This window comes from Homo sapiens (assembly GCF_000001405.40).
Source record: "Homo sapiens chromosome 16 unlocalized genomic scaffold, GRCh38.p14 Primary Assembly HSCHR16_RANDOM_CTG1".
Taxonomy (NCBI): domain Eukaryota; kingdom Metazoa; phylum Chordata; class Mammalia; order Primates; family Hominidae; genus Homo; species Homo sapiens.
Window position 1 is genome coordinate 1848487 of NT_187383.1, and position 11329 is coordinate 1859815.

At 48.1% G+C, this 11329-nt stretch overlaps 1 non-coding gene across 1 annotated transcript; it reads right to left on the bottom strand.

The window, feature by feature from the left end:
• Positions 1 to 278: 278 nt before the first annotated feature.
• On the bottom strand, positions 279 to 6751 carry LOC124907782 (dual specificity protein phosphatase 22; the record flags this gene model as incomplete). Its single annotated transcript, NR_185478.1, is given in 3 exon segments — positions 279 to 370; positions 1234 to 1399; positions 6563 to 6751. It is a non-coding gene; the product is annotated as a dual specificity protein phosphatase 22 (transcript).
• Positions 6752 to 11329: the final 4578 nt, after the last annotated feature.

An 11329-nucleotide genomic window follows, 5' to 3' on the forward strand; every position in this document is an offset into this window, starting at 1 on the left:
GAGTAGCACAGGGCCAAGACAGGGTCAGGATGGGACCAGAGCAGGACAGGGCCGAGACAGTCCAGGTAACAGTAGGGCGGGTACAGGGCAATGCAGGGCAAAGCCAGGCCCATTGCCAATGCACCAGCCTTCCCTACAAGGCTCCTACCACCTGGCCACTGCTGCAGCCCGTCCATCGCTGTAAGCCTGACCCCCAACCCTGGCTGCAGCCGCCTGCCCTCCTAGCGCGGCCGCTCTCCTACCGCTCTGGCGCACTGCAGTCTCTGTCGCTGCCACCCACCCGCAGTGAGGCAAGTCGTGGTGTCGCAGGCTCTAGGTGTCTCCTCCTCCTCCTGGCATGGAGCAGCTGGGTGGGCAAAGCCAGAAAAGCCTAGAGGAAGATGTGAGGGGTGGAAGGGTTAGAGCCTCAACTTGTCATGCTGGCCACTGGGTGGCAGGGGCCAGTTTCAGCAAAGGCACTCACACCCACCCTCCAAAGTCCAGCCTCTCCTTTTGGCCCAAGCTGGCCGGGAACTGGGGTCTGGGGTGGGTGCTGGAGACACCACAGCACCCAGCTCCCCACTCCACAGGAACCATTGGGCCCACCGGGGCTGCACTCCTCGGGGAGCAGGAGAAGCAGAAAAATTCAGACCCAGCCAGCCCTCCGCACCCAGGTGCCAATTCCTGTTCCAGACGCCTCCGCACCCAGGGCCCTGTCCCCCGTGGTGTCCCCAGGGGTGCCTGGCAGCCTCTGAGGCACAGACCCAGAGTGCACAGGCCCAGGAACCATGGTGGGTGTGGGGGTTCTGCCGTGCTCAGGATTCCCACGCAAACGCTGCGTGCCTGCCGCATTCCAGTATGACCAAGAGTGGGTCGCCCTCTGGAATGTGGAGTCAGGGAGAGGAGAACCACTCCTTCCTTGGATGCCAACTCTGCTGACCACTGCCAGCAGTGCAGCCCCTGATAGCACCGAACTCGCCCCCGCTCCATGGATAGTCCTGCCCTCAATAGCGCCCCCCACCTCCATCCCCCAATGCCGCCAGTAGCATATACCTGATAGTGCCCTAACCTGTCCTCCTCCATGGGCACTGCAGCCCCAGAAAGTGCCCATAACCCACCCTCCCTGCCACGGGAAGTGCAGCCCTGTACAGTGCTACCAACCAGTGCCCCTAATGCAGGCAATGACACCCTGGATAGCACCCCCAACCCACCCCACACTGTGAAAGGTGCAGCCCTGGATAGCCCCTGTCCTACCACTCTGGTCGTGCTGCAGTCTCTGTCACCGCCACCATCAACCACAGTGAGGCAAGCCAGTGGGCCACAGGCTCTAGCACTCAGCAGACAGACATGGAGCAGCTCTCGCCGATGACCAGCTCCACCACTCTGACCACACTGCTGTCTCCGTGGCCATCTTCTTTGACTACAAAGGAATAAAACTAGATATCAATAAGAAGAGTAATTTTGGAAACAATACAATCACATGGAAGTTAAACACTACCCACCTGAATAAATGACTAGCGGGTCAATGAAGATAATAAGACAGAAATTCAAAAATTTCATGAAACAAAGGGTAACGAAAACACAGTATACCAAAACTTGTTATGCAGAAAGCAGTACAAAGGCAGAGATTTACAGCTATAAGTGCCTACCATCCAAACAAAAGAAAAACTTCAAATAAACAATACATCTTAAATAACTAGTAAAGTAAGAACAAACTAAACCAAAAATAAGAAAAATAAATAAGATCGTAGCAGAAATAAAATTGAAAGAAAAAAACACACAAGATGAAATGAAAAGTTGGTTTTCTGGAAAGCAAAACAAAATTGACAAACTTTTAACCAGGCTAACTAAGAAAAAAGAGACAAGATTCAAATAAATAAAATCAACAGATTAAAAAAGGGAGACATTACAACTAATACTTCAGAAATTCAAAGGATCATAACTGGCTATTATATGCCAATAAATTGGAAAGCCTAGTAGAAATTGGCAAATTCCTAGATGCATACAACCTACTTAGGTTGAACAATGAAAACATCCAAGACCAGAACAGATTGGTAACAAGTAATGAGATTGAAGCCATCAGAAAAAGTCTCCCAGTAAAGAAAAGCCCAGGAACTGATGTCTTCACTGCTGATGGCTTCACACCAAACAATTTAATGACCTAGTACAAATCCTACTCAAACTATTTTGAAAAACAGGAGGGAATACTTCCAAACTTATTCTATGAGACCATTATTACTGTGATACCAAAATCAGACGAAGGCATCAAAGAAGGAAACTACAGGCCAGTATCTCTAATATTGATGCAAAAATCCTCAACGAAATACCAGTGAATCAAATTCAGTAAAACATTAAAAAGATAATTCATCATGATCAAGTGGGATGTATCCCTGGGATGCAAGAGTCACTCAACATACAATGTGATACATCATATCAACCAAATAAACGACAAAAACAGTATGATCATGTCAACTGAAACTGAAAAAGCATTTGATGAAATTCAACATCCCTTCATGCTATCAATCCTCAAATAAACGGGTACAGAAGAAACATACCACAACATAATAAAAACTACAGGAAAGACACCCACAGCTAGAATCATATGGAGAGAGGTCCAGGCTGCAGTGAGCTGTGATCCCACCACTGCACTCCAGCCTGGGCAACAGAGTGAAAGCCTGTCTCAAAAAAAAAATACATAAAAAGAGGTATGAACCTCTTTTATAGGTGCAGTGACTCACATCTGTAATGCTAACACTTTCTGGGAGGCTGAGGTGAGAGGATCTCTTGAGGCCAGGAGTTCAAGATCAGCCTGGGCAAAATAGCGAGACCCTTTATCTACAAAAAATTTTTAAATATTTGCCAGGTGTGGTGGCACGTGCCTGTAGTCTTAAACAATTATCATATGACCCGGATAGTGTATTCCTTAGGGATATACCCAAGGGAAATGAAAATATACATCCACACTAAAATTTGTACACAAATGTTCACAGCAGCATTGTGCATAATAGCCAAAAATTGGAAAAAAAACTCAAGTGCCTATCAACAGAGGAACTGAAAAAATATGGTATATCCATTCAAAAGATTACTCAGCATTAAAAAAGAATGAAGTGTTGATATACGCTACAGCATGGATAAACCTTGAAAACACTGTGTCAAGTGAAATAAGTCAATCACAAAAGACCATATGTAGTAAGATTTCATTCTGTGAAACCTCCAGAACAGCTAAACTCAGAGACAGAAAGTAAGCTAGTTATTGCCAGGGACTAGGGGAAAAGGGAATAAGGATGACTGCTAATGGGTATGGGATTTCTTGTGGACTGATGAAAATGGTCTGAAAGTATCTAGATACCTGTCTTGTTTGTGCGATTCTGTGAACATATTATAAACCACAAAATTCTGCACTCAAGGGGTTGATTTCATGGTAGGTGAATTTATCTCATTTATCTTTATCTCAATAAAGCTTTTTAAAGACACTTTAAAAAGACATATCTGTATAAGCTACAAAAATAACACACTGAGAGACTAAAATGCTTAATTTTTCCATTTTTCTTCTTCAGCGCAATCTCAAGTCCAAAAGTCTTTCCTTCCTATATATGCATATTTTGTCCAGTGAAACAAGAAACTCTATTAACTTTATTAGAAATAAAAAAAAGCCATGTGTGCTGGCTCACAGCTGTGCTTCCAGCTATTCAGAAGGCTGAGGAAGAAGGATCACTTGAGGCCAAGACTGGGAGTTCAAGACCAGCTGAGGCAACATAGCTAGATCCTGCCTTTAAAAATATTTTTTAGGCCAGGCACGGGGGCTCACGCCTGTAATCCCAGCACTTTGGGAGGCCAAGGAGGGCAGATCATTTGAGATCAGGAGTTCAAAACCAGCCTGGACAACATGGTGAAACCCCATCTCTTCTAAAAATATAAAAATTAGCCAGGTGTAGTGGTGGGCACCTGTAATTCCAGCTACTTGGGAGGCTGAGGCAGGAGAATTGCTTGAGCCGGGAGGGTGGAGGCTGCAGTGAGGCCAAGATCATTCCACTACACTCCAGCCTGGGTGACAGAGCAAGACTCCGTCTCAGGAAAAAAAAAAAAAAAAAATATATATATATATATATATATACACACACACACATATACACATATATGCGTATATATATATATATATACGTATATATGTGTATATGTATATATATATTTTTTAGGTTAAAACTCTACTGAAATGAAACTAATAAAATAAAATTCAACTTAATTAAAAAATAGTTCCTGAAATATTAATTTTCAAACAATTCTATTTTAGCTTTGACTCTGAACAAAATATAAACGTCAATTTCAAAATATCACAAAGATTGGCTGGGGGCAGTGGCTCATGCTTGTAATTCCAGCACTTTGGGAGGACGAGGCATGAGCCTCACTAGAGGCCAGGAGTTCCAGAGCAGCCTGGCCAACATAGGGAAACCCAGTCTCTACTAAAAAAATACAACAAAAATTACCCGGGTCTAGTAACCCCAGCTACTCAGGAGGCCGAGGCATTAGAATCACTGGAATCTGGGAGGTGGAGGTTGCAGTGAGTGGAGATCATGCCACAGCACTCCAACCTGGGCGACAGACTGAGAGTCCGTCTCAAAAAAATAAAAATAAGGCCAGGTGCTGTGGCTCACACCTGTAATCCCAGCACTTCGGGAGGCCAAGGTGGGCAGATCACTTGAGGTCAAGGAGTTTGGGACCAGCCTGGGCAACACAGTGAAACCTCCTCTCTACTAAAAATACATAAATTAGCTGGGCATGGTGGCACACACTTGTAATGCCAGCTACACCAGAGGCTGAGGCAGGGGAATCGTATGAATTCGGGAGGTGGAGGTTGTAGTGACCTGAGATTGTGCTACTGCACTCCAGCCTGGACGACAGAGTGAGACTCCATCTCAAAAAAAAAGAAAAAAAAAAGAAAATTTAAATTTAAAATTTAAAAAAGTCACAAAGACTACAAATACTCAGGTTTAAGCAAATTCCCACCTTTCTCGAATTAACAGTAATTCATATTTGCTTTGTCAAAAATGTAGATATTTACCTGCCTCAACGGAATGAAATCCTAAAAGCCTAGTGTTCTCAAATGATGAAGACAAAGAAACATGCATATTTTAATTTAGAATTTTGATTCAGAATTAATTTTAACCTAGCTGGAGTATACATAATCATTTATGTATTTATTTACTTATTTAAGAGACTGGGTTTCGCTGTGTTATCCAGGATGGAATGCAGTGGCACAACCTTGGCTCACTGCAACTTGTGCTTCCTGAGCTCAAGCGATCCTCCCACCTCAGTCTCCAGAGTAGCTGGGACTGCAAGTGCACGTTACCACACCCAGCTAATTTTTGCGGAGACGAGCCTCGCTATGTTTCCCACACTGGTCTCTAAGTCCTTGGCTCACTACAGCCTCAAGCCCCTGGGCTCAAGCAATCTGCCTCCCAAAGTGCTGAGATTACAGGAGTGAGCCACCACAACCGGCCTACTCGATAGTGTATACTAAGCAACATATACCCTGCTTTTGCCTAGAACATACTGAAAACATGGCATTAAAAACAATCACAAAAGTTGGGAGCTGAGAAAAATATACTGTAAAACAAATCTGACAGATATTAATCTCAAGAAGCTCCTGAAAATGTCTCAAGAACTCCTATGCTGCACTCTCCCTAATAATTTAGACTTTCTACAGATATTTTCTGATCATCTACCGTGTGCCAGGCACCATGCCAGGTACCAAGATGCCATGGTGAGGTATACACAAAACCGGCTCCTGCTTGCGGGAAGCCTACTCTCTCAAACAGTGCTTGCCAAGCTCGACTGATCACAACTTGGGAGCTTGTTTAAGTTCCAAATCGGCTTCCCTGCTTAGGTGAGCCACAATCCGTGGCATTTTTATCAGGTGCTCCCAATGATTCCTACGCTCTAACGGGTTTGGGAGGAAAGGGTGGGGGTAAGCTCGAGAGCCCAGACCCATCCCGTCCAGCGGGGGTCCCACCTCTAAAGTCCATGTCGCTCAGCATCCTTCCCCCTGACTAGTGGCCCAAACACAGCAGGAAGCTGAGGTGGGTGGAACGCTTTCCAAAACAGCGCTCTGTGATGAGCCACCGACAGACTTGCTCGCCTCCGGGAACGAAGAGCTCACTCCTCACAAACCCCACCAGGGAAAGGTAGCACCTGAGCCTCCCGGGCTGTGCGGACATCTGTCTCCCCGCGGGTGCCGCCTACTGCTCCGGTGGACTCCAGTCCCCAGGTTCCGCCCCACGGGGACTGGGGGGAGGGGGGAGGCGCCGCGCGCATTAGGCGCTGACAGTATACCGACCCCCCCTCCGGTGTGCGCAGGCCAACACCCATACACACCCTCACACACCCGCACACACTCCCGTGGAAACTGAGGCAGGCAGGCGGCGGACCAGGTCCCGCCGCCTGACGGCTAGCGGCTGGGATGGAACCCGGACTGCCAGACGCCTTCCGCCTCACAGGCACTCCTCAGCCGCTGAGGCCCGGCCAGGCTCCCACCGCCGGAGTTTCACAAAGAAAGTCTCCCGGCCCGAGCCCCTCACGCACTCACCGGCGCCGACGCCCGCGGCGACTGGGGCTCCCACCTCCTTCAGCTCCTTGCGGGGGTCGGCCCTGGGGTCGGCTTGGGCGCCGGCAGCGGCGACTGCTCCACATCCACCGGGTCCGGGCCGCGTCCGCCTCGAGCTAACGGTCCCGCCAGCTAGGCGCGCTCGCCAGTTCCGGGCGCCATGTTCCCGCTGTGCTGCTCGCCGCCGAGGCGACCCTCACTGCCCCCCAGCCACGCGCGCCCCCGCGGGCCCACACACGAACCCCGCACGCGCGCGTTCGCCGCGCCCCCTCCCTCCCCGCGCGCCCCGCCTCGCGCCCTCTGGAGCTGGCCGCTGTTCCCAGTGTCTCGCCCACCCCCGCCGGGCCCGTCCGACTCCGCGGGTGAGCGCGTGGTTCCCGGCTCGGCACCGCCGCCTGCCTCTCTGCAGACCACCCCGGACCCGACCCCTCGGCCACTTCCCCACACTGCCCCTTTCGCTTCCCCCACCACGCGGGGCCTAGGACGAGGGTCTGGGCCAAGAGGAGCTTCCCTGCAAGAAGTGCCCAGCTAAGGACGCTACTAAGGGGGCGGGATCGCCACCGTGGAGGTGTGCAAGCAGGTGCCTGCGTCCCGGAGACAGCCAGACTCAACGGAGAAGCTGAGTTGAAGTCCCACATCTCCACTAACCCTTGCGTGTTAGGGTCAGGGCTTCGGGACTTGTTTCTCCTAAATCTTTTTTTTTTTTTTTTTTTTTTTTTTTGAGACAGTCTCGCTCTGTCACCCAGGCTGGAGTGCTGTGGCGCGATCTCGGCTCACTGCAAGCTCCACCTCCCGGGTTCACGCCATTCTCCTGCCTCAGCCTCCGGAGCAGCTGAGACTACAGGCGCCCGCCACCACCTGCTGATTTTTGTATTTTTAGTAGAGGTGGGGTTTCACCGTGTTAGCCAGGATGGTCTCCATCTCCTGACCTTGTGATCCTCCCGCCTTGGCCTCGCAAAGTGCTGAGATTACAGGCGTGAGCCAGCGCGCTCGGCCTGTTTCTCCGAAATCTGAAGACTCAATATCATAATCAAGAGAACGCCTCAGCACCGCGCCTAGCACTTAGTAGGTAGTGATCAAGAGAGAAGACCTCTTAAGTGGTTTTAATGGTTAAGGACCACAGGTTCTCAAGAAAGGGAAATCTCAATTCAAGTCCCGCCTCCATCTCTTGGAAACTGAGAAACCTTGAACAAGTCACTCAGAGGAGCCAAAGATCCTTGATTTCTACATGTGCAAAAGGGGAGTGTGGCAGTAGCACTGCACAGGGTTGACTGAGCTTTCAGGGAGATGATGACTGTATGATCATGCCTCTCTTAATCACGGGATGGTTCTGAGAAATGCCTCCTTAGGTGATTGCAGCATTGTGCAAACAGCAAAGTGCATTAACACAAACCTTGTATAGCCTTGTATAGCCTACTAAACACCTAGGCTGTATGGCCTATTGCTCCTAGGCTACACACCTGTACAGCCTGATACTTTACTGAATGTACCATAAGCAGTTGTAACGCAATGTAAGTACTTGTGTACCTGAACATAGAGAAGGTACAGTAAGAATAGAGCATAAGAGAATTTAAAATGGTACTCCTGTATAGGGCACTTACCACGAAAGGAGCTTACAGGACTGGAAGATGCTGTGGATGAGTCAATGATTGTGAAGGCATAGGACCTTACTGTACACTACTGTAGACTTCATAAACACCATATGCTTAGGCTACACCAAATTTTTTTAAAGCTTTTCTTCAATAAATTAACCTTAGCTTACTGAAATGTATCTTAAAAATTTTGCCAGTCGTGGTGTCTCACGCCTGTAATCCCAGCACTTTGGGAGGCCGAGGCAGGCAGATCATTTGAGGTCAGGAGTTCAAGACCATCCTGGCCAACGTGGTGAAACCCTCATCTCTACTAAAAATACAAAACTTAGCCAGGCATGTTGGTGTGCACCTGTAATCCCAGCTGCTCAGGAGACTGACGCAGGAGAATCGCTTGAACCTAGGAGGCGGAGGTTGCAGTGAGCCGAGATTGTGCCACTGCACTCCCGCCTGGGCAATTACACGCATGGAGATGTCATCTCCTGTGATAAGAATGCCTTCTTCTTCCAGAATACTTCCTGAAGGACCTACCTGAGGCTGTTTTATAGTTAACTATTTTTTAATGTAAGTAGAAGACATACATTCTAAAATTATGAAAAACACTAAATACACCAGGGCTGGGCACAGTGTCTCATGTGGGTAATCCCAGCACTTCAGGTGGCTGAGGCGGGCAGATCATTTGAGGTCAGGAGTTTGAGACCAGCCTGGGCGGTGTGGTGAAACCCCATCTCTGCTAAAAATACAAAGATTAGCTGGCCGTGGTGGTGGGTGCCTGTATTCCCTGCTACTCAGGAGGCTGAGGCAGAAGAATCGCTTCAACCTGTGAGGCAGAAGTTGCAGTGAGCCAAGATCGCGCCACTGCACTCCAGCCTGTGCGACAGAGCAAGACTCTGTCTCAAAAAAATAAAATAAACCAGTAACATAGTTGTTCATTATCAAGTATTATATATTGTATGTAATTGTACATGCTATGCTTTTATAGAACTGGCAGCACAGATTTGTTTACACCAGCATCACCAGAAACACAGAAATGCATTACCCTAACATTACAATGGCTATGTCACTAAGCAATAGGAATTTTTCAGCTCCATAATCGTCTTATGGTACCAGTGACTTACATGTGGTTTGTCATTGACTAAAATGTCATTATACAACACATGACTGCATATCCCAGGGCCCAATGCCTGGCACACACAAAGCTGAGTTTCACTGGTGTAATTCCCACCCTATCCATCCAAGAATCCTAAAAGTTTAATGAAAGGGGCTCTGCTCCCAAAACCCTGTGGTATAAGTAGCTGGGAGGAGTTCGCCCGACTTGGGGTTTCAAGGACTCTTTCTTCCCACCTGTTTGCTTTCCTTTCTCTCCCCAAAACTTCTCTGAAAACCCTAAAGTTGGCAGAAAAATGGAGAATGTTTTCCCTACTAACAAAAAGAATCTTCAAGAGTCTCTTGGGATTTGTAAATGGTTGCATTTACTAGTCTGGTTTTCTTTTTGTTTTGCTTTTTTGTTTTTGTTTTTGTTTTTTTTTTGAGATGGAGTCTTGCTCTGTCACCTAGGCTGGAGTGCAGTGGCACGATCTCGGCTCACTGCAACCTCCGCCTCCCAGATGCAAGCAATTCTCTTGCCTCAGCCTCCTGAGTAGCTGGGATTAAAGGCACGCACCACCACGCCTGGCTAATTTTTTTGTATTTTTATTAGAGACAGGATTTCACCATGTTGGTCAGGCTGATCTCAAACTCCTGACCTCATGATCCACCTGCCTTGACCTCCCAAAGTACTGGGATTACAGGCATGAGCCACTGCACCCAGCCTTCTAGTTTGGTATTTTTCTTATTCAAGTAACAAGGAAAAAAAAAATAACTCCACCAAGAGTAAAACAGAAAAAAGGAACAAAACTGATAGCATGACTGAAAAGGCCTGGGGTGGTACCTCACTTCAGGCATAGCTGGATACAGGCACTTATACAAGATAAGTCTCTCTAATGTCTCGGTGCTTGCTTCCCTTTGATTACTTCATTCTCATGCAATTCTTTCCACATAGTGGCCTGAGCAGCTCCTAACTCACATCTGCGCAAGAAAGCAGAGGCTGTTCCCCAATAGTTCCAGCCAAAGTCCCAGGACTGACTTTCACTGGACCCGTTTGGGCCACATGCCCCTGCCTGAGCCAACCACCACATCCAGCCTGGCCAGACCTGGCTTTCAGGAAGCCCCTTCAGGAAGCAGTTGGGGTCATCCCCTCCAGAAGGACATGGGGAAAACCAGAAAGTGGGAGGAGGGATGCTTCCTTCTGAAAAATAGGGATGCAATTACCACAGGAGGTGTCAGATACAGGGCTGGCACAAACAAGAGCTATCCATGGCACCATCATGTAGGCATGCAGCAGGTCCACCATGAAGCAACCTGGCTGCTCCGCAAAATGGAATCACAGTTAATTCAGCCAATGAGAAATATCCCTCTATTTGGGTTCCCACCATTCACCCCAGGCCTGGCACGTCCCAAATTTCCTTGGTCAAAGGCAAGCAAATTACCCGCCTTTTATGCTGCACAAAAAGCTGAAAAGATTATCTTACTTCTCTGGCTCAAGAACTTTCTATGACTCCCTCTGGCTACTTATGTGGCTCCCCCACCCTTAATGATAGAAGCCAACATTCATGAATCCCCTACCACATGCCAGGTACCTTATGGACCTGCCTCCTCCAAACAGCATAGAAGAGGTTGGTACTCTTACTGCACCCATTTTATAAATATGGAAACAAAGGCTCAGCAATTTGAGGTAATTTACCCAGAGCCAAAGTTAGGAAGTGCAGAGTTCAGATTAGCACAATATTGTTCCCGCCCTTACCATCCCAGCTCCATTTGTTCATGTTTCAAAGTCCTACACCCACCTCTAGCTAGGGGCCAGTGGGATCCGCTCCATGGCAGAAGAAGCCTCTAGGAACCCCTTCAGCTTCTGCAGTGGTGGGGCTGGGGAGTAGGTGCAAAAGATACTTAGCTTTACCATCCTCTCCCACAAAATTTTTTTTTTTTTGAGATGGAGTCTCACTCTGTCACACAAGCTGGAGTGCAGTGATGCGATCTCAGCTCACTGCAACCTCTGCCTCCTAGGTTCAAGCAATTCTCATGCCACAGCCTCTGGAGTAGCTGGGATTACAGGTGCCTA